This window comes from Homo sapiens, chromosome 12, assembly GCF_000001405.40.
Source record: "Homo sapiens chromosome 12, GRCh38.p14 Primary Assembly".
Lineage (NCBI taxonomy): Eukaryota > Metazoa > Chordata > Mammalia > Primates > Hominidae > Homo > Homo sapiens.
In genome coordinates, this window is record NC_000012.12 from 107685608 (window position 1) to 107708918 (window position 23311).

A 23311-nucleotide genomic window follows, 5' to 3' on the forward strand; every position below is an offset into this window, starting at 1 on the left:
GTCACATGCAGTCCTGAAAAGCCTTTTCTCTATACTTCACACAGCCCAGACCAGCCCACGTGGATTCCTCGCCCGGCTGCTTCCGCTTCCATTTTGTCCCCTCCTATTTCTCATTCGGCGCCTCAGAATGACGTCTGAAATGAGCGCCGACGCTGCCCAAACAGGAGCCTGCGCATGCGCTCTGCCCTGGCAGCGGCCCTGTGCAGATCCCTGAGCGTGTGGCAGCAGTGCGGTCGTGGTCCCTCCCTATGCAGCCTGGTTTCTAGCGTGACACGCCCTTGACTTGAGGACCATGAACCGCAGCCGCCAGGTGACGTGCGTGGCCTGGGTCCGCTGCGGCGTGGCCAAAGAGACACCAGACAAGGTGAGGCCTGGTCGCTGGGAGACAAGGGGAGCAGCGTCTTTACGGCACTGGGGGTCCGCCCAGCTGGGGGAACGTGGACCCGGAACTCGGGGCGTTGGCTGGTGCGACTGGCTGGGGTGAGGGCGGCTTTGCCCGGATTGTCGCGACTAGAGCTGCAGTTCAGAAGGTCTGGTTCGCCTGAGCCTGGAGAGTCAAGGGCCGCGCCTTCTCACTGTTCCCACCCTCAAGCCCAACCCCACTCCCAAATTCGCACGCACATGGACTTAGCGGGCCGGAAAGGGGTGGGCTGCTGTTTTTGGTGGGTAATACCCCAAAAGGCTTTTTGACAACACCACTAGCTTCACTAGCACCCAAGTGCATTTTCAAGCATAACTGGGAAGAGAGCATGAAAACTCCACTTTCCACTCTTGTGCTCCGTGTCTGAAGGAGTGAGGATGAATGTGGTGTAGAAAAACTGGTGTGGAGGCTAAGATGTCGTGAGGCTGGGAGATGAATAGGGAATTTCTTGCAGTAATCCAAGTGAGATGTTGATGGTAGCAGGGAGGATGAGAGGTAAATGTCTAACACATGAAAAACCTACAAGAGTTGGAGACTGAGACTGTAGCAGAGGTGACGATTACTTAAGTAATTTCCTCATTGGATACTAAGTGCTTTCTGTAGGCCAGGCATTGTTCAGGGTCCTGGGATAGGCATGAACAAAATAGAAAAAGTCCCGCCGGGCGCGGTGGCTCACGCCTGTAATCCCAGCACTTTGGGAGGCCAAGGCGGGCGGATCACGAGGTCAGGAGATCGAGAGCATCCTGGCTAACACGGTGAAACCCCGTCTCTACTAAAAATACAAAAAATTAGCCGGGTGTGGTGGTGGATGCCTGTAGTCCCAGCTACTCGGGAGGCTGAGGCAGGAGAATGGCGTGAACCCGGGAGGCGGAGCTTGCAGTGAGCCGAGATCGCACAGCTGCACTCCAGCCTGGGCGGGCAACAGAGTGAGACTCCGTCTCAAAAAAAAAAAAAAAAAAAAAAAAAAAAAAATAGAAAAAGACCCTGCCTTTATGGAGTCGACATGTGCACATATAGTATGTCAGTGGGAGTTAAGTTCTACCAAACAGTAAAAGGGGTTGATTTGAATGTACTTGACCAAGATAATGATGATGGTGATAGGAATGTGATTGGCTTGGACATGGAGTTAACAGGAATGACGGATTGGAGTAGTCCCAGTAGTTGTAAATTCCACCTGGGCACAGACTGTTTTATTTACTGTTTCTCCAGGGTTTGGTTGATGGTAGGCACTCGGTGTTACATTTATAGAATAGGGACAGAAAATTATTTCATATAAAAATTGTTGGAGGAAACAGTTATTAAAAAGAGACATATAGCCTTTCAAATACTTGAAGACTGATTTCCAAATGAATCTACACATTGAAAATCTCACACTTGGGGAGGTTCAAAAAATACTGATGTTTATGTCCCACTCCCAAGTATTGTGTTGTAATTAGCCTGTAGTGTAGCCTAAATTATTTAAGATTCCCTAGGTGATTCTGATGTACAGATAAGTCTGGGAACCACTATTTGAAGAGTTTATAGGAAAAAGAGATTGAATTTATGAAATCCTAGAAAGGAAAACTTGGACCAAATGAGAGAAATTGGACAAGCCAGTTGCGGTGGCTCGTGCCTGTAATCCTAGTCATTCAGGAAGCTGAGGTGGGAGGATCGCATGAGCCCAGGAGTTCACAGCTGCAGGGAGCTGTGACCATGCCACATCTCTTAAAAATTAAAATTAAGGCCGGGCACGGTGGCTCACGCCTGTAATCCCAGCACTTTGGGAGCCCGAGGCAGGTGGATCATTTGAGGTCAGGAGTTCCAGACCAGCCCGGCCAACATGGTGAAACCCAGTCTCTACCAAAATACAAAAATTAGCTGGGCGTGGTGGCGCGTGCCTGTAATCCCAGCTGCTCAAGAGGCTAAGGCAGGAGAATCGCTTGAACCCGGGAGGTGGAGGTTGCAGTGAGCCGAGATGGCGCCATTGCTCTTCAGCCTGGGCAACAGAGCGAGACTCCGTCTCAAAAAAAAAAAAAAAAAAAAAAAAAAAAAAGAACAGAGGACTCATGTAAGGGTGATTTGTTAAGGAATGCCCACAGGGAAGAGAGGGAGAGGTGCCCTAGACAGAGTCAGAGATGGTTGGAAGAAAACCAGACGAGTACCACACAGCCACTTTACCAAAACCAGTCTTTGGAGTTTTAAGACTAAGAGGTGGAGTAGAATGAGCATGATTTTTGAAGTTTCAGGTAGCGAGAGATCTTATTTGTAAGAATCTATAAAATCTATATTTTTTAATATAGAGTCTGGATTGATGTTTGATTCTTATCTTGATGACATTGCTTGGCGTTACATTTTACATTTGTTTGCAAACTACTTTTTAATTCAAATAATTTGATGATTTCCTTACACATATTGTAATGAAATCTTTGCTCTCTTACAGGTAGAGCTGAGTAAAGAAGAAGTAAAACGCCTCATTGCTGAGGCAAAGGAGAAATTGCAGTAAGTTTAGGACCAGATGAAATCTATATCTTAAATGATGATGACCATGTGGTCTTGTTATTAGAAGGTAGCATTTGGGTGATTCTCTTTTTCTTTCTGTGCTCATAGAGAAGAAGGTGGTGGCAGTGATGAAGAGGAGACAGGCAGTCCTTCAGAAGATGGCATGCAGAGTGCACGCACCCAGGCACGCCCAAGAGAGCCCCTGGAGGATGGTGACCCAGAGGATGACAGGACGCTTGATGATGATGAGCTGGCTGAGTACGACTTAGATAAATATGATGAGGAAGGTGACCCAGGTTAGTTTATCCACTTCTGATGGTTTGTAATTACAAGCTCAATATGTTGGATCATGTTTGTGGTGTTCCAAAGCTTTACTCTTAGATTTTATTGTTCTTGACATCAGTAAGATAATCTGGTTGAAGACTTGGGCAGACAGCATGATTCCTAAACTAGTTTAGAAGATAAACTCTAACCCACTAAGATACAAATCTAGGATCTAAAAAAAAAAGTACTGTGTATTTTATTGCATATATCAGGTTTAATAATCTGTAACCCACTTGTGAGTTTTTGTATGCAGTTATAATGCTATGGTGTGCTTGAACTTATATCCATATACCTTTTCCTCAACTGCAGTCAGTCTTCTCACAATACAGTAGTCCCCCCTTATCCACGGTTTTGCTTTCTTCGGTTTCAGTTAGCCACAGTCAACTGCAGTCTGAAAATAAGTGAGTAAAGTACAGTACTTTGGGAGAGATGACTTTCACATAACTTTTATTACAGTATATTATCATTATTTGATTCCTAGGTACATATAGGAAAAACATAATGTATATAAGGTTTGGTACTATCTGTGGTTTTAGACCACCACTGAGGGTCTTGGAATGTATCCCCCGTGGATAAGGGGGGACTACTGCCTGCATTTTGAGATGCTGTTCTTGGAGATAATTAGAAAAAGAGGCCAGGTGCACGTGACTCACGCCTGTAATCCCAGCACTTTGGGAGGCCGAGGCAGGTGGATCACTTGAGGTCAGGAGTTCGAGACCAGCCGGGCCAACATGGCGAAACCCTGTCTCTACTAAAAATACAAAACTTAGCCAGGCGTGGTGGCGCACATCTGTAATCCCAGCTACTCAGGAGGCTGAGGCAGGAGAATCACTTGAACCTGGGAGGCGGAGGTTGCAGTGAGCCAAGATCGTGCCACTGCACTCCAGCCTGGGTGACACAGTGGGACTCCATCTCAAAAAGAAAAAATCATGGGTGGGAAGAGAAAAAGGAAATAGAACAGAAGACAGATTAGAAGTAGAAGTTTGTATAGAAAGCCTCGTGGGGAATAAAGTGAGCTGAGATGACAACTACCTATATTGCTCTTCTGGGGAAAGTAGGTATAACGATAAATGGAAAAGGAGCTGACAAAGCTCGCTTTGTTTCTTTTGGAATGTGCTACCCTAGGTGGCACTAACTCCTAATCTTGGGGTTTGAGAAATAGGCATTTGGCACACTGAGCAGGTTAAGTAAGTTATTTACTTAACTTGTAAATCCCAGTTAGTCTGCATATTTGGGAGCTGAAGGGACTCCTGACAGCTAGAATCAGCTACTCCCAAGTTATAAAATCAAAATGTAGATGATCGGAAACAAAAATTAACTCTTAATACAAATGTTATCTGCAACAAAGTAAAATCACAACTACCTGTTAAATTGATGGTTAAAATATTACATAAGACATAGCAGAGCTGAGCGTGGTGGCTCATGTCTAATCCCAGCTACTTGGGAGGCTGAGGCAGCAGGATCGCTCAAGCCCAGGAGTTCAAGGCTGCAGTGAACTATGATCACACTGTATTCCATCCTGGATGACAGACACCATGTCTAAATAATAAAAAAGTTTAAAAAAGTTATAATCAGGCACTTAAAAATATCAGTATCTGTTAGAATATCGTTGAAATGCTGAGTAAAATAATATACTTTTTTTTGTGTGTGTGAGACGGAGTCTTGCTCTGTTGCCCAGGCTAGAGTGCTGTAGTGCAATCTCGGCTCACTGCAGCCTCTGACTCCCTAATTCAAGCAATTTTCCTGCCTTAGCCTCCCGAATGCTGGGATTACAGGCACATGCCACCACGCCCAGCTAATTTTCGTGTTTTTAGTAGAGACAGGGTTTCACCATGTTGGCCGGGATGGTCTCAATCTCCTGACCTCATGATCCGCCTGCCTCGGCCTGAAAAACTCCAGCAATGGGGAGAGGGAGAGTCGAAAATGACATTGAGGAAATAGTGTTAACTGTTAAAGCAAGGTAATTCAAGGTTCGTGATGCCCTCTCCACTTGTGTTCATTTTTCAAAATTTCTATAATACAACATTTAAAAAAAAATCAGACATGTACGGGTTGATGGTGAGCACTGTGGGGTATCTGGAAGAGCAGTGTAGTTGGAGTGTGGAAAGAATAGGACATGAGACATGGTCTGTGTTGGGCACAGGAAGATCAGTAAACAACAGACAGGCAATGAGAAATGAGTAAGTAGGCTCTGGGTAGAGATGGGATTGACCAAAGTCAATTAGCTGTCTTGTCCTGGATGCCTCAGGCAGGGCATGTTTGAGCACAGTAGATAACATTGTGGAGGCAGAACTGAGCCAAGTAAGAGGAAGATTCAGTGGAATGTGACAAACTATAGGAAGCCTTTAGTGCCAGAGCAATATTGAGCTTGACCTGATGTATGTGATGATACAGCCTGGAAAAAGACCCAAAGGAGGGGAAATGCTCGGCAAGTTGATCTGCATGAGTGAAGCACAGAGAAGGTGGATGGGCAGTTGCTGGGAAGTCTGGAAGAAAGACTTAATTGGGTCCCAGTAAACTTAGAATACCAGGCTTAGCAATCTGTGTGTTCTCTGTGCGAGAGGAAATCATTAAAGGTTTTTGAGCATGGAACACATAATAATGGAACATACACTTTAGGAAGTTAACTCTGGCAACAGTGGAGAACAGGTTGGCAGATAGGGTGAATCTCTTAGAGGAGCAGAAACTTAAGATAAATTAGGCCAGAAGCAATGAGGGCCTGGCTTGGGGCACTAGGAATGAGGAGGAGGACATGGAAGAAAGGGATTGCAGAGGTAGCTGGGAGTTTAGCATCATCCTAGTGGATGAACTCTCTTCCAGAATTGGTACGTCTGGTTTCCATCTTATTATCGCTGGTGTACCTCTTTTCTTTCAGACAAGAAGTAACCCTGATTTCCTCACTCCATCTGAATTGATTTTTATTGTCATTTATCCATTTTTCCATCTAGATGTTCATTCCTCCGTTTTCCTCATTCGCTTGGCCATCTGTCCTATGGATTACTATTAACTTCATTTTTCATTATCTGCAGTACTTAGAAAGGAATCATTACCTCCATTTACCAGCGGCACACAGCTGGTGAAAGACGGTGCTGAGTTTTGACCACTCTCGGGCTCTAAAGCCTTCATTCTTTTCACTGCATCTTTTCTATAGATACAGTCCAGCAGAGGATAGTTTTTTCTATTGGACTCTGGGTTATGGGCTCCAACCTTGTTAGGGACAGAGTGCCATAGAAATACAGAGAAACAAATAACCCAGCCTGGAGAGATGGCATTCAGAATCAGCTCTTTCTCGTGTAGCAGAAATTGCTTTCTCTGTTGCATATCAGATGTTTAAGACCTATCAGTCCTGCCTCCTTAAAGTGGCTTCCTCTAACAATTCAGTGTATCTTCCTTTTCCTGAGTTATCCTTTGTTACCATCGTAGATGTGCCATAAAAGAATAATTTAAGTTCAGTGGAAAAAGCATACTGCATTTCTTTTTTCATATGCCAATAAGGCATATTAGCATATCAGAACACGTGCAGTAGAGCAACCTGGTTAATTTTTTGAAACCTGTCATTTCTCAATTTTATTTGACCAGGCAACCCTTATTTATTATGTTGATTTCAGTGTTTCAGGGTCATTTTATTTCCAGGTCCTCAAGGCTGCCTCTCCGTATCACCTTCAATCATGAATGCAGGGAGCTAGCTAGAGAATCTCAAGAGAGTTCTCATATTTTCTAAAAGGGTCTAATTCCCTGATACAGTTCTTTCATTGGAAGATTGTGAATTCCAAGACTGTCTGAAATCCATTCCAAAGGTCAAATACAAAAATGGCTTTTAAATTCCTGCTGCTGCTTACGTAGTTTCCTTTCCCAACTCTAGATGATCCAGAGTTAGTTATAAAATAGATGATTGCATCTAAGTCCAAGAATGGATGTCATAGGAAATATGTTTTTGTCAAGATGACTATTTTATTATTGTAGTTTGTCAATTTTTCTTACAGATGCTGAGACTCTTGGTGAATCTCTCTTGGGTCTTACGGTCTACGGGAGTAATGATCAAGATCCTTACGTTACTCTGAAAGATACAGTAAGTATTTACATCTTTTTTCTAATTATGCTCTTAAGTGTTCAAAAAACCTTACTGGCTCTCTGCTTCTAGTCAATGACATTTTTTTCCTCTCACTTAGGAACAATATGAACGTGAAGATTTCTTGATTAAGCCCAGTGATAATCTTATAGTTTGTGGCCGAGCTGAACAGGACCAGTGCAATTTAGAGGTGCATGGTAAGTGATAAATCCCTTATTAAAAGATTTTCTAAGTGATGGTAAAATAATAAGTGAAATAGTTACCATTTCATTTTTAGGTGCCAGATCCTATTGTATCTCATTTAAGTTGGTTACATAGTTAACTTTTACACAGGTGGCCAATTTCTTGGTTATTGTTCTGGGTATGTGTAGTCCAGTACATCACTTTGGTATCTGAATTTTCTATGGAAATAAATCCCCTGGAAATTTTTCATAGGGGTGTTTTTTTTTGTTTTTATATATAAACAGGGTCTCACTGTGTTGCCCAGGCTGTCTCGAACTCCTGGGCTGACGTAATCCTGATTTGGCCTCCCAAAGTGCTGGGTGCTGGATTACAGGTGTGAGCCACCACACCTGGCCTCATAGAGGTTTTTAATCTTTTATTTAAATGTGATTGCCTGTTTTTCACTCCTCTCCTACTCCTGCTATAAAAAACCTGGAAGTAAAATTATATATAAAAATACAAGGCTGGGTGCGGTGTCTCACACCTGTAATCCCAGTACTTTGGGAGGCTGAGGTGGGAGGATTGCTCGAGCCCATGAGTTCTAGGCTACAGTGAGCTGTGATTCTGTTTGCTCCACTGTACTCCAGCCTGGGTGACAAAGACCCCATCTCTAGGGGAGAAAAAAATGTATAATCCCATTTCCCTGAGTTAATAACTTGCCACCTTGGTTTTTTACTCAATTTTTTTTTCTGGCTACTTTTTCTTTATGTGGATTATACTGGATAGACAGGTTTTTCTCATGTTTTTTAAATAGAGTTATTTCAGATATTTCCCCTTTGCAAAACATTTTATTTTCTTCCTAATAATTCAACACAAAGGGCCACGTTTCTTTTTTGGAACCAAAACATCGTGATCACCTTTCTTACTTAAGGAATATTTGTATCAAAGCCAGAAGCGGATGCTTTGCAGTAATCAGAAGTAGGCATGAAAATAGGAATTTTTAAATTGTATTTTTAAATGTTGTTTTTGATTTAATATTAATTGAATGGCTTGCCTCACTTTGGTGTTTTTAATGTAAAATCTGTTTTTTATATGCTAAAAGTAGACTTGCACAATGTCTGGCGCACTCTGCCTACAGATTCTCCGTTTTGTTTTTCTTGTCCCTTCCACTGCGCTCATATCCTCAGACAAGTCCATCCTTGCCCGATACTCTCCTCCCCCAGCAGTCTTCAGATCGTCTTGAAACTTTGAAGATTCGAAGAGATTATTAGGCTGATAAGTCCTTTTGTTATAGGAAACACAGTTGCACAGCTTGAAAAAATAAAACCCTTAGGCTTAATGTTTATCGCCATCTTCTAGGTTGCTTCATCATGGCTTCCATTGATTAGCTTGGATTTCTGTTACCTCTTCAGAATCTTTAAGGCTGTCCGTGGGAAGCCTATAGATTAGGCCCATTTTATCTCATGGCTCATTGTGATCTGTTTATGCATAGCAGGCACTTTAATGTGAAATTATTCTTTCTAACTCTTGATATCTTTGAACTTTTACATATTTCAAATGAAAACCATTTGTTTACTTTGCTTTTAAGACCAATTCTAATTTCAAAAAATTGAGAACCTATTAGAGTTTTTTTTGTCATCATCGATTTTTTTATGCATTCTTACCTGAGAACTTAACAGTCATTCCTTTGAACTCAGGATCAAAGAGGAGCTGAGAAAGAAGTTAAAGCTGTTATATTTCCATTTCCTTCTCAGTTAGGTTATTATAGATATACTTTATTATTTGGGTTTGGAAGGAATCTCCAAATTGCCCAGTATGTGTGTGCAAGAATAACTTCAAATTTATATTCTAAAACTGATCCGAATATTGATCTCACGTGGTTAAGAGTATATTTTAAAGTATTATTACCAGTTGCTGGGCGTAGTGACTCATGCTTGTAATCCCAGCAATTTGGGAGGCCAAGGCGGGCGGATCACGAGTTCAGGAGATCGAGACCATCCTGGCTAACACGGTAAAACCCAGTCTCTACTAAAAATACAAAAAAAAAAAAAAAAATCAGCCAGGCGTGGTGGCGGGCGCCTGTAGTCCCAGCTACTCGGGAGGCTGAGGCAGGAGAATGGCGTGAACCTGGGAGGCAGGGCTTGCAGTGGGCTGAGATCGTGTCACTGCACTCCAGCCTGGGCGACAGAGCAAGACTCCATCTCAAAAAAAAAAAAGTTATTACCAATTTTATGTAAAATGTAAGCTGAGTATATCGAACATGGTTGAGGTTTTTGTAGAACCACAGTCTAATAATTTTGAACATGAATTCTCATCACAGGGATGTGATAGAGCATTACACAAATCTGCTAATCCCAGGATCTATTCCAGAAGCAGCAATCTGAGGAATTAAAAATAAAATCCTTAATTTATTATATATTTACCTCCTTCTTAATACAAAGCATATGGGGAGGGGTTCTGACTAGTGGGTTCTGTTTTATCAGTGTTTCACTGTGTAATTTTTAAAAGACTTCTTACTCATTGATTTTACAATGTTTTTGCTGCTTAACATTACAGCTGTGAATATTAAGGAGCTGTTGCCATATTCCAAAAGTATGTCCTCAGGAGCTTTGTTTACATTGTTCATCTTCATAAACCTTTTTTAAAAATATTAAGAGTAATTTTTGATAAGCATTTAGATTTCCAAATATGAATTATTTCTCTCCCATGCTATTTTTGGTTTGTTCTTTTTGACTTATAATCAGCTAGACCATTAAAAGATAAAATAATAACTACTTCTTGTAGTTATGAACATTATGAACTTATGAACATTTGTTTTCTATGAATGACCTAGAAGACAGGACCATTTATCTGACAAGGATGCAGGTGGACTATCAGATGTCAGTGTTCATTTTCTCCTGTGGGGTATGCCACAAGATGGCACTGTATTAGACATGCAGAATTTTTGCCTAGTCATGATATTGGAATCTTTTTTTTTTTTTTTTTTTTTGAGATAGAGTCTCACTATGTCGCCCAGGCTGGAGTGCAGTGGTGCGATCTCAGCTCACTGCAACCTCCACCTCCCAGGTTCAAGCTATTCTCCTGCCTCAGCCTCCCTAGTAGCTGGGACTACAGGCACGTACCACCACACCCAGCTAATTTTTGTATTTTGAGTAGAGACGAGGTTTCATTGTGTTGGCCAGGCTGGTCTCGAACTCCTGACCTCAAGTGATCCGCCCACCTTGGCCTCCCAAAGTATTGGGATTACAGGCACGAGCCACTGCGCCCAGCCTGGAATCTCTTTATAATATCAGATGTCTCACTTTAAAGCACATGGCTCACGTACATTTAATAGAATTTGTTTTTTTGAGCGGGATGTGATTTTTGATGACTCATTCTGATACATTAAAGTCTCTTTTCCCAATCTTTTCAGTTTATAATCAAGAAGAAGACTCTTTTTATGTACACCATGATATACTCTTGTCTGCATATCCTCTGAGTGTGGAATGGCTGAATTTTGATCCTAGCCCAGATGATTCTACTGGTAATTAGAAAACTTAAGGTTGTTCAATGATTTCCAGTCTTATGTATTTTCTCCTAGCTCCATAAATTATGTATTCTCTTGAATGTTTTCAGAATTGTTGCTGATATTTTCTGAAGTTACTGTTATTTTATGAAGTTATAGAGTTCTTAACACACCATCACTTTATTGTTTGGGGTTCATAAATCCCCAGACTTCAGGTAGGCTAAGGAGGTAGCTGCTCTACTACAGGCTGAAGGACAGGGCCTGAAGCCTTTTGGACTGTAGAACTGTAAAGGTCCCATAAAGACTCAGTATAAATGGCCTGATATGTGAGATGTTACCAGCTAGAGTTCAGTGGCATAACCTGTTTTAGAAAACATAAGCTAAAACCGAAATGAAGAGGCTTGTCACAAGTAATTAGGTTTTCATGTTAGTCTTTGTAACCACATCTGCACACTATTAGTTGCCCCTGTCCGTACTTTTTAATAAAGGTAAACACTGTTTATACTGTCTTACGTCTTGTTTGCACACCTTGTTCACATTCATGATCTGATCTGATCTTCATCCCCACAGCACCCCATGAAGGAGGACGGGAGGAGGGTTATTCTCGTTATATAAATGAAAACACTGGGGCCAAGAGATTGAGCCTTTCCTACTCAAATTGTGGCCCAAAGACCAGCAGCAGCACAGCATGGTTATCACCTGTGACCTAGTTAGAAATGCCCACCCAGAACCACCTGAAATACAATCTGCATTTGTAACATTCAGATGCCGCATATGCATATAAGTTTGAGAAGCACTGCTCTAAAGCATTTTTCAGTTAATCTACAGTATAATGTATTTGATTAGAAGTTCTGTATGTCTTTTTTTGTGTAATCATACATGCATTGTTTCCTCCCATAGGAAATTACATTGCTGTAGGAAACATGACCCCTGTTATTGAAGTGTGGGACCTTGATATAGTGGACTCTTTAGAGCCAGTCTTCACACTCGGAAGTAAACTTTCAAAAAAGAAGAAAAAGAAAGGAAAGAAGGTAAAGAAGTTAATAAATATTTAAACTCTAATGACAGAGGTAAGTTTACTCGGGAGTAGGGGTGAAGGGTAAGACCGTACACTTTTTCAATCAGGTATTCTTGGTGAGATGGGGTAGGTAGTTATGAAATTATTGTAATTTTTAGTTTTGAAAAGGCCATCCAAAGAAAACTTATTTCTGATTACATAAAACCTCCATTATCATGTTGTTCTTTCTTACACAAAACTAGTTCAAAGCTAGTATATTAATATGAATAGCTACTATAGATGAAGGACTTTCGGATTATGAGCCTCCTCCAAATACAGTAGCTATTTATACAGATATACCAACCTTGAACTTTAAAAAAATTTCTGTTATCATGTTGAATTCTAATTATCCATGTATTAACTCCTGCAGCTTTTAAAATCGTTAGGTTTTATGAGGGTTGGGAGCTATATTGATACTTGTATAATTACAGTACCTAGATTAAGAACTGCTAGGCCAGGCCACGCACGTGGCTCACTCCTGTAATCCCAGCAGTTTAGGAGGCTGAGGCGGGTGGATCACCTGAGGTCAGGAGTTCGAGACCAGCCTGGCCAACATGGTGAAACCCTGTCTCTACTAAATATACAAAAATTAGCCAGGCATGTTGGTGTGTTCCTGTAATCCCAGCTACTTGGGAGGCTGAGGCAGGAGAATCACTTGAACCTGGGAGGCAGAGGTTGCAGTGAGCTCACACCACTGCACTCCAGCCTGTGTGACAGAGCGAGACTCTGTCTCAAGGGAAAAAAAAGAACTGCTAGGCCAGTCATAGTAGCTCACGCCTATAGTCCTAGCACTTTGGGAGGCCAAGGTGGGAGGAGTGCTTGAGCCCAGGAGGTTGAGGTTGCAGTGAGCCATGATTGTGTGCCACTGCACTCCAACCTGGGTGACAGAGCGAGATTTTGTCTCTAAAAAAATAAACTACTATAGTTTCTTCCCTGTTCCTTGTAATGAAATTTTTTTCTTTATTTTTCTTTTTTAAAGAGGTAAGGTCTTGCTCTGTCTCCCAAGACTGGAGTGCAGTGGCACGATTATAGTTCACTGCAGCCTGAAACGCCTAGGCTCAAGAGATCCTGGGATTCTCCTGCCTCAGCTTCCTGAGTAGCTGGGACTATAGGCGTATGCTGCCATGCCTGGCTAAGTTTTGACTTTTTTGTAAAGACAGAGTTTCGCTATGTTGCCTGGGCTGGTCTCGAACTCCCGGCCTCAAGCGATGTTCCCACGTTAGCTTCCCAAGGTCCTGGGATTACAGTGTGGGCCGCTGCACCCAGCCCCTGTAATGAAATTAATCATGAGTCTCTAACAGGGAGACAAGGTTTTATTTATTTTATTCTTCAAAAGTTTATATAATATCAAAACAATAGGTCGGGTGCAGTAGCTCACACCTGTAATCCCAACACTTTGGGAGGCCGAGAGTGGATCATGAGGTCAGGAGTTCCTGACCACCCTGGCCAACGTGGCAAAACCCTGTCTCCACAAAAAATATAAAAATTAGCTGGGCATGGTGGCATGCGCGTGTAATCCCAGCTACTTGAGAGGCTGAGGCAGGAGAATCGCTTGAATCCAGGAGGTGGAGGTTGCAGTGAGCTGAGATCGTGCAACTGCACTCTAGCCAGGGCAACAGACAAAGACTCCGTCTCAAAACAAAACAAAACAAAATAATCTTAAGGTTTAAAGAATTTTGCAGATTAATATATTCAGTTTTATTATGAGGGGGACTTTAATACAAAAAATAATTAAAACAATTATTACAGAGTTCCTCAGCAGAAGGGCATACCGATGCTGTCCTTGACCTTTCATGGAATAAGCTAATCAGGTAAAAAGAAATAACATTTGAATGATTGTAAAAGACTGTAGCCATTGTGATCTTACCTCATGCCTACACTCATCTCTTTATTTGTGCTGTGGACCTTTGTGTCTATCTTCCTTTCTTGTAGGATGCCCTGCTTGCAGGCAGGAGCTCTGTCATCTGTTTCTTTGCATCCTCCAGGTCACCTGCCAGCTCATCACTGTGGGTGCTCATTGCATGTTTGGTGACCAAGTGCCCTCTCTCCACCACCACTGGAAAAAAACAGGGTGTTTGGCAGTGCCCATGGTGCAGTAGGATTGTGTTTCTTCCCAGGAGACATTTTTCTCTGTTTAGTTTTCACATCTCACCACATACTCTTTTATTCTTTTTTCTTTAAATTATGGCAAAATACATATAACATAAAAGTTAACACTTGTATTAGTCTGTCTTCATGCTGCTAATGTAGACATACTCGAGGCTGGGTAATATGTAAAGGAAAGAGGTTTAATTGATTCACAGTTCTGTATGGCTGGGGAGGCCTCACAGTTATGGCAGAAAGCAAATGAGGAGCAAAGTCATGTCTTATATAGTGGCAGGCAGGAGAAAGGGCATGTGCAGAGGAACTCTCCTTTATAAAACCGTCAGATCTTGTGAGACCCATTCACTATCATGAGAACAGCACAGGAAAGACCTGTCCCCATGATTCCATTACCTTCCACCTGGTCCTTCCCACAACACATGGGAATTATGGGAGCTACAATTCAAGATGAGATTTGGGTGGGGACATAGCCAAATCCTATCACCATTTTTACCATTTTTAAGTGTGCAGTTCAGTGGCTTTCAGTACATTCACAGAGTTGTGCAACCATCACCACAATGCATCTCCAGAACATTTTCATCTCCGTACTGCAGCTCTGCCCTTTAAACACTGACTCCCCATTTCCCCCACCCCCAGCCCTGGCAACCACCACTCCACTTTCTGTCTCCATGAATTTGACTAAGCATCTCATATGAATGGAATCATACAGACTTACTTCTTTGCAACTGGCTTATTTGACTTAATGTCTTCAGGTTCAGTCATGTTCCAATAAGTGTCAGAGTTTCTTCCTTTTTAAGGCTAAATAATATTCCATTGTATGTAATGTATGTTACCCGTTCATTTACGTGTGGTCACCTGGATTGCTTCTTCTGCCTTTTGGATACTGTGAATAATGCTGCTATGAATGTGGGTGTACAAATATTCAAGTCCCTGCTTTCAGTTGTTTTGAGTATGTACCCAGAAGCGTTATTACTGAATCTTATGGTAATTCTATTTTTAATTTTTTGAGGAGCCACCATACTATTTTCCATAATGGCTGCACCATTTTACATTTTCACCAACAATGCACACAAGGGCTCTAGTGTCTCCAAAATTTGTTATTTTCTGTTTTTCATAATAGCCATCCTAATGGGTATGAAGTGGTATATCATTGCGGTTTTAATTTGCATTTCCCCCCCTTTTTTTAAGGTAAGATGGGGGTCTATGTTGCTAAAGCTGGTCTCAAATTCTTGGGCTCAAGCAATCCCCCCGCCTCAGCTTCCCAAGTCACTTGGAGTACAGGGGCTTGCCACCACACCTGGCTTAATCTGCATTTCTTAACGATTAGTGATGTTGAGCATCTTTGTTTTGTGCTTATTGGCCATTTGTGTATCTTCTTTGGGAGAAATGTTTTTCAAGTCCTTTGCTTACTTTTTTTTGAGACAGGGTCTCACTCTGTCACCCAGGCTGGAGTGCAGTGGCACAATCACTGCTCACTGTAGTCTTGACCTTCTGGGGCTCAGGTGATCCTCCCACCTCAGCCTCCCAAAGTGCTGGGATAACAGGCATGAGCCACCAAGCCTGGCCTCCCTTTGCCTGTTTTTTGTGTTTGATGTTGAATTTTTGGAGTTAAAACTAACTCCTACTACCAAATACATGATTTGCAAATATTTTCTTCTATTCTGTGGGTTGTTTTTTCACTTTCTTGGTGCTATCATTTGCAGCACAGGTTTTTCATGTGATGGTGTCTACTTTATTTCTTTTGTTGTTCATGCTTTTGATGTTGTATCTAGCAAACCATCGCTTAAGTCAGGGTCATGAAGGTTTACATGTATGTTTTCTTCTGAGTTTTATAGTATTAGCTCTTACATTGAAGTCTATGATCCATTTTGAGTTTTTTTTGTGTGTATGGTGTGAGGTAGGGGTCCAACTTCATTCTTTTTCATGAGGATGATTCATTTGTCCCTGAACCATTTGTTTTTGTTTTGTGTGAGACAGGGTCTTACTCTGTCACCCAGGCTAGAGTGAGTGGTGTGATCTCAGCTCACTGCACCCCCCACCTCTGGGGTTCAAGTGATTCTCCTGCCTCAGCCTCCTGAGTAGCTGGGATTACTGGTGCATGCCACCATGCCTGGCTAATTTTTGTATTTTTAATAGAGACAGGGTTTCACCATGTAGGCCAGGCTTGTCTCAAACTCCGGACCTCAAGTGATCTGCCTGCCTCTGCCTTGCAAAGTGCTGGGATTATAGGCATGAGCCACCGCGCCCAGCCCCATTTGTTAAGACTTTTTTCCCCATTGAACATTTAATTACCTTAGTACCCTTGTCAAAAACCAGTGACTATAAATGTTTATTTCTGGACTGTTAGTTGTAGTCCATTAATCTGTATGTCCTTATGCCAGTAGCACATTGTTGTGATTGCTGTAGATTTTCAGTAAGTTTTGATGCCAGGAAATATGAACTTGCCAACTTTGTTCTTTTTTTCAGTACTATTTTGGCTATTCTAGGTTCCTTGCATTTTTAGAATCAGCTTGTCACTTTTTTTTTAAGTCTAATACTAATAATAGTAGTACATCCTGTTTTGTTTTGTTTTGAGACAGAGTCTCACTCTGTTGCTCAGGCTGGAGTCCAGTGACGTGATCTTGGTTCTCTGCAACCTCCGCTTTTTGGGTTCAAGCTATTCTCGTGCCTCAGCCTCCTGAGTAACTGGGATTACAGGCATGCGCCACCATGCCCAGCTAATTTTTTGTATTTATAGAGAAGGGGTTTCACCATGTTGGCCAGGCTGGTCTTGAACTCCTGACCTCAAGTGATCCACGTGCCTCAGCCTCCCAAAGTGCTGGGATTACAGGTGTGAGCCACTGTGCCTGGCTGTGAATCAGCTTGTCACTTTCTGTAAAAAGAAAGAAAAAAGTCATCAGAGATTTTGAAAGAGATTGGTTGAATCTGTAGATCAGTTTATAGCTCCATCTGTAGATGTAATATTTCCATATTAACACTATTAAGTCTTCTAATACATGAACATGGGGTTTCTTTCCACTTATTTAGATACTCTTGTTTCCTTTCATAATCTTCGGTAGTTTTCATTATGTAAGTCTTACATTTCTTTTGTTAAATTTATTCCTAAGTATTTTATTCTTTCTGATGCTATTGTAAATGCAATCCTTTTCTCATATTTAATGCTCTTGACTTTTAAAAGATTACCTGATTGGATTCTTCCCTTTCTCAGAAATGTTTTAGCAAGTGCATCAGCTGACAACACTGTAATTCTGTGGGATATGTCCTTGGGGAAACCAGCAGCTAGCCTCGCTGTACACACAGACAAGGTATGGTGATTTAGTTGATCACAGCGGTTCTTAAAAATCGGACACAAATATTGGCTAAAAATAATCCCAAACGTTTATATATGGCTTTGAAAATAATTTTATCTGGCTTGCGGCATGCTTTCACATGTTATCTCTTAGGATTTTCACAAAGCCCTGTGTGGTAGGTATAATGCCCATCTTAGAGATGAAAAAATGGGTACAGAAAGGTACGGTTACTAGGAACATTAGTGCCCTGTAACATATTTATAGAGGCTCCTAAAAAAGGATGAGGTCTGTCAGTCACAATGGTAACACCCATTACTGTGTTATTCCCCAGGAATCTAATGCAGATTATTTTGGGACTTCTGGAGCATGGGGAATTCACCAGATGGGTTTGACTACTTCCCTTTTTCTTCTGAGTATCTTCTAACATTTGAGGGACTAAGTATTCTGCCAAACAGTTTGGGGAAACTACATTTTCTTTAAGTGCCAGCCTTTATGTGGGAGCATGGTTTGCCCTTTGATTATGCAGTACATTTATGTTTCTTTTGTTTACTGTATTTCAGAGGGACGCATTTATAGAAATACTGTCAAATAGATTCTTACCACATGTTAGGTAATTTTACGAAAAGCAAACCAACAGAGATCTCTGCATTTATGTTTCCTCCCTTTAGGTCCAAACACTGCAGTTTCATCCATTTGAAGCACAGACTCTGATTTCTGGCTCATATGATAAGTAAGAAAGCACAGCAAGAATGATTGCTACTCTGTTTTTATCCTCTAGAAGTCATTTTAAGAGTATCACTTGGTACCCAGGCAGAATGTATCCTTGAGGCCACCTTTATGTTTAAATTATTTGCACTACTTATTTTTCCTTTTAACTCTGGTCCTTTCAGTCTACAACGGAACATGATTCTGTCATAATAATATAACTGTAGGAACTAGCAACTTCTTTGGCTTTTAGAGGCTGTACTTTGCCTTTATGGGAAGAATTTCCATGTCACATGACAGAGGGCATGGATATAGGGAGACATGAAGAACTGGGGCCACTGTGGTCAACCACGGGGTTTATAGCTCATATCAGTGCTCCTTTTTACAGATTGGGTCTACAGGTAGGAGAAACAGATAGTAGAAGCCAAAACCAACTTTGCAGTCTTTATTTTCATTTCTTATCCTCTTGAAGCATGATATGTTTACATTTCTTGTGATTCACGCAGAATTACAAAAGTGCATCCCTTGCTTCCCCTAACATGATAAACTGCTTATGGAGAGTAAGTGTGCCTAAGACATGAGTAACCTGGCTCTGAGCTCGGCCAGAGAAGGGGAAATTAGAAATTGTCCTGGGCTTTTGGACATAGAGAGGATTCTTCTTGCGAGTGGAAGATTTGACCTGGAGAAGGTCAAAACCACTGTAACGTTAGAGGCACCAGTGCCTTCAAGTGTTAAGATCAGAATCCACCAATTACTGAAACTCAGCTCATTTTTTTTCTACTTTATTTAGAACCTTAAAACAGGCTTTAAATGAATCTTGATTTCACAGTGCTATTTTATTACTATTTCATTATAAATAAAACATATAGGAGAATTGAACTCTTAAAACCCTAACTTTGCCTGAATGTGTCTAGGTCAGTGGCTTTGTATGACTGCCGAAGTCCAGATGAAAGCCATCGAATGTGGCGATTCAGTGGGCAGATAGAGAGAGTGACTTGGAATCACTTTTCACCTTGTCATTTCTTGGTAAGAGTACGAATGTTGTTGTTTTGCTTTTCTAGGTTGCTAATGACTTTTTAAATTCCATAGTAGAGAGAATTATCTGAAAAGCTTTTTCTGTTTTAACAGTATGAAGTATTTGGGTTTAGGGTTGAAAGCATAAGGTGTTTTTTTTTAAATAAGAGAACGGCTCTTACTTAAAAAGCAGTGAACATGTAAATGATTTTGCTGGTTGCCGGCCATTCCAAAGTGTGCCACGTTTTATTTAATGATTTTGATCATTTTATTGTAGTGTTGTTTGAAATACTAAGCATAGTTAGTATTTTTTGTTTTTTTTAATGGCTAAATCAGTCCAAGATGATATTCTTTTCTTTAAATCCTCATGCTTAAATGGATCTCTAGTGATGAGAATGCTAACCTGTTAATTTGTAGCACTATCTCCCAAATAGGAAAAAAAGTATAAGACCTCTGTCTAAATACCCTTATTATCTAAGGAGGACAATGATTTTCCACATAGCATCCAAAGATTCCACTGACATTTCAGTACATGTAAAAAGAAAAGCCCAGCTTTCATCCAGAGCAAAGATTAGTTAAATTTGTTGCCCAGTTTTCCTGAAGTAAATATGTAGTGCTTTGCAAAGGTGAGAAAGAGTTTTTTTTTTTTTTTAAATTTAAGTTCTAGGATACATGTGCACAACGTCCAGGTTTGTTACATATGTATACATGTGCGATGTTGGTGTGCTGCACCCATTAACTTGTCATTTACATTAGGTATATCTCCTAATGCTATCCCTCCCCCTCCCCCCACCCCACGACAGGCCCCAGTGTGTGATGTTCCCCTTCCTGTGTCCAAGTGTTCTCATTGTTCAATTCCCACCTATGAGTGAGAACATGCAACGTTTGGTTTTCTGTCCTTGCGATAGATAGTTTTCTGAGAATGATGGTTTCCAGCTTCATCCATGTCCCTACAAAGGACATGAACTCATTCTTTTTTATGGCTGCATAGTATTCCATGGTGTATATGTGCCACATTTTCTTAATCCAGTCTATCATTGATGGACATCTGGGTTGGTTCCAAGTCTTTTCTATCGTGAATAGTGCCACAATATGCACTATATGTATGTGCACATATGCACATACGTGTGCATGTGTCTTTATAGCAGCATGATTTATAATCCTTTGGGTATATACCCAGTAATGGGATGGCTGGGTCAAATGGTATTTTTAGTTCTAGATCCTTGAGGAATTGCCATACTGTCTTCCACAATGGTTGAACTAGTTTACAGTCCCACCAACAGTGTAAAACTGTTCCTATTTCTCCACATCTCTCCAGCACCTGTTGTTTCCTGACTTTTTAATGATCGCCATTCTAACTGGTGTAAGATGGTATCTCATTGTGGTTTTGATTTGCATTTCTCTGATGGCCAGTGATGATGAGCATTTTTTCATGTGTCTGTTGGCTGCATAAATGTCTTCTTTTGAGAAGTGTCTATTCATATCCTTCGCCCACTTTTTGATGGGGCTGTTTTTTTCTTGTAAATTTGTTTGAGTTCATTGTAGATTCTGGATATTAGCCCTTTGTCAGATGAGTAGATTGCAAAAATTTTCTCCTATTCTGTAGGTTGCCTGTTCACTCTGATGGTAGTTTCTTTTGCTGTGCAGAAGCTCTTTAGTTTAATTAGATCCCATTTATCAATTTTGACTTTTGTTGCCATTGCTTTTGGTGTTTTAGACATGAAGTCCTTGTCCATGCCTATGTCCTGAATGGTATTGCCTAGGTTTTCTTCTAGGGTTTTTATGGTTTTAGGTCTAACATTTAATTTAAGTCTTTAATCCATCTGGAATTAATTTTTGTATAAGCTGTGAGGAAGGGATCCAGTTTCAGCTTTCTACATATGGCTAGCCAGTTTTCCCAGCACCATTTATTAAATAGGGAATCCTTTCCCCATTTCTTGTTTTTGTCAGGTTTGTCAAAGATCAGATGATTGTAGATGTGTGGTATTATTTCTGAGGGCTCTGTTCTGTTCTATTGGTCTACATCTCTGTTTTGGTACCAGTACCATGCTGTTTTGGTTACTGTAGCCTTGTAGTATAGTTTGAAGTCAGGTAGCATGATGCCTCCACCTTTGTTCTTTTGGCTTAGGATTGTCTTGGCAATGTGGGCTCTTTTTTGGTTCTATATGAACTTTAAAGTAGTTGTTTCCAATTCTGTGAAGAAAGTCATTGGTAGCTTGATGGGGATGGCATTGAATCTACAAATTACCTTGGGCAGTATGGCTATTTTCACAATATTGATTCTTCCTATCCATGAGCATGGAATGTTCTTCCATTTGTTTGTGTCCTCTTTTATTTCGTTGAGCAGTGGTTTGTAGTTCTCCTTGAAGAGGTCCTTCACATTCCTTGTAAGTTGGATTCCTAGGTATTTTATTCTCTTTGAAGCAATTGTGAATGGGAGTTCACTCATGATTTGGCTGTTTGTCTATTATTGGTGTATAAGAATGCTTGTGATTTTTGCACATTGATTTTGTATCCTGAGACTTTGCTGAAGTTGCTTATCAGCTTAAGGAGATTTTGGGCTGAGACAATGGGGTTTTCTAGATATACAATCATGTCATCTGCAAACAGGGACAATTTGACTTCCTCTTTTCCTAATTGAATACCCTTTATTTCTTTCTCCTGCCTGATTGCCCTGGCCAGAACTTCCAACACTGTGTTGAATAGGAGTGGTGAGAGAGGGCATCCCTGTCTTGTGCCAGTTTTCAAAGGGAGTGCTTCCAGTTTTTGCCCATTCAGTATGATATTGGCTGTGGGTTTGTCATAAATAGCTCTTATTATTTTGAGATATGTCTCATCAATACCGAATTTATTGAGAGTTTTAGCATGAAGGGCTGTTGAATTTTGTCAAAGGCCTTTTCTGCATCTATTGAGATAATCATGTGGTTTTTGTCTTTGGTTCTGTTTATATGCTGGATTACGTTTATTGATGTGTGTATGTATGTTGAACCAGCCTTGCATCCCAGGGATGAAGCCCACTTGATCATGGTGGATAAGCTTTTTGATGTGCTGCTGGATTCGGTTTGCCAGTATTTTATTGAGGATTTTTGCATCGATGTTCTTCAGGGATATTGGTCTAAAATTCTGTTTTTTCGTTGTGTCTCTGCCGGGCTTTGGTATCAGGGTGATGCTGGCCTCATAAAATGAGTTAGGGGGGAAAGAGTTTTTTAAAAACAGCTTTCTCAAAAGATGTGGACAATTTTAGTAAGATTCATGAAGTAATGATTCTGAGATACTTAATCTCAATTCTGCACGATTAGTAGAGGTGCATGCTGTTCTAGCCAGGCAGCCTGAAGCCTGACTTATTTTTACAATGATCATTCCAGTTGTACTTGAATGTTGTGTTGTACTTCGGCTCTCACTCTTCAGGTACGCAACTTCCAGAGATTATTTGCTAACAAATGGTCATATATATTAGAATCCCAAATATTTAGGGAAGTGAGAGGTTAAAGTAGATGAAATGGTTCACCTGCTTCCCTCTCATCTCAAAAGAAGAGCCAAGCCTTCTCTTCCCTGGCCTAGCAGTCAGACTGCCTCAGCCGTCCTTTCTTTATCCTTTTTTCTTGTACTGGCTGTTGCCCTTGGCCTGTATACAGGCTCAGGTTTCTGTCTCCCATTTTTGGCTCTGTATCTGTCTCTTAATTCCTTCATTTCTTCTTTCTTTCTTGACAGTGTAACAATGCACTCTAATCTGCCTTTCATTCCTAAGTTCCTTATCTGATTGAATTTCTCTGCCACACTGGTCGATTTGACTGTTGGTCACGCCTTGGTTCCTTGACACTCTTCCCTATCCCTTCTTCCCTCTCTGACTCACTTCTGTGGATGCTTCCTCAGCCTGCAACTTGAGTAGCCATGCTCACCAGGCCTGTGTTCACGTGGATGTAACTATGGCCTCTTTTCTTCTACTGCTCTAGCCCCATTCCAGACCATTCACCACAGCTTCATACTCATATCCAGTAGACATGTCAACTGAATTAGCCCATGTGAGTGCAAACTCAGGTCGTCCAAAAGTAAATGATTTCTGTCCATGTTAATTTTTCATAAGTTCCACCAGTAAGTCATATAGCTGATTTTCACTATGACTTAGACTTTTTACCCATTGTTAGATTTTGTGACGTAGCATGACCTTGCCCATCTTTTACTC

At 41.1% G+C, this 23311-nt stretch overlaps 1 protein-coding gene across 3 annotated transcripts in view, besides 2 other annotated features; it reads left to right on the forward strand.

Moving 5' to 3' along the window:
• Positions 1 to 260: an enhancer, noted in NCBI's record as "active region_6954". NCBI's record gives its function as "activates an Ori minimal core promoter by ATAC-STARR-seq in GM12878 lymphoblastoid cells {active_cell/tissue: GM12878}" and the evidence as "EXISTENCE:reporter gene assay evidence [ECO:0000049][PMID:35858748]".
• The window catches only part of PWP1 (PWP1 homolog, endonuclein), a 27364-nt gene continuing 4244 nt past the window's right edge, over positions 192 to 23311 (forward strand). The window contains exons 1-11 of one of the 3 annotated variants that reach the window (NM_001317963.2): positions 192 to 364; positions 2841 to 2899; positions 3008 to 3195; positions 7207 to 7292; positions 7365 to 7489; positions 10867 to 10977; positions 11860 to 11990; positions 13766 to 13827; positions 17328 to 17424; positions 18078 to 18139; positions 19029 to 19140. In NM_001317963.2, the coding sequence (NP_001304892.1) occupies positions 11883 to 11990; positions 13766 to 13827; positions 17328 to 17424; positions 18078 to 18139; positions 19029 to 19140 (441 nt within the window). In that variant the 5' untranslated portion in view covers positions 192 to 364; positions 2841 to 2899; positions 3008 to 3195; ... (2 more) ...; positions 10867 to 10977; positions 11860 to 11882. Of the gene's footprint in view, positions 365 to 434; positions 531 to 2840; positions 2900 to 3007; positions 3196 to 7206; positions 7293 to 7364; positions 7490 to 10866; positions 10978 to 11859; positions 11991 to 13765; positions 13828 to 17327; positions 17425 to 18077; positions 18140 to 19028; positions 19141 to 23311 lie in introns of those variants that run through there. The other 2 variants (NM_007062.3, NM_001317962.2) reach the window with 2 other exon arrangements.
• Positions 481 to 530: an enhancer, noted in NCBI's record as "active region_6955". NCBI's record gives its function as "activates an Ori minimal core promoter by ATAC-STARR-seq in GM12878 lymphoblastoid cells {active_cell/tissue: GM12878}" and the evidence as "EXISTENCE:reporter gene assay evidence [ECO:0000049][PMID:35858748]".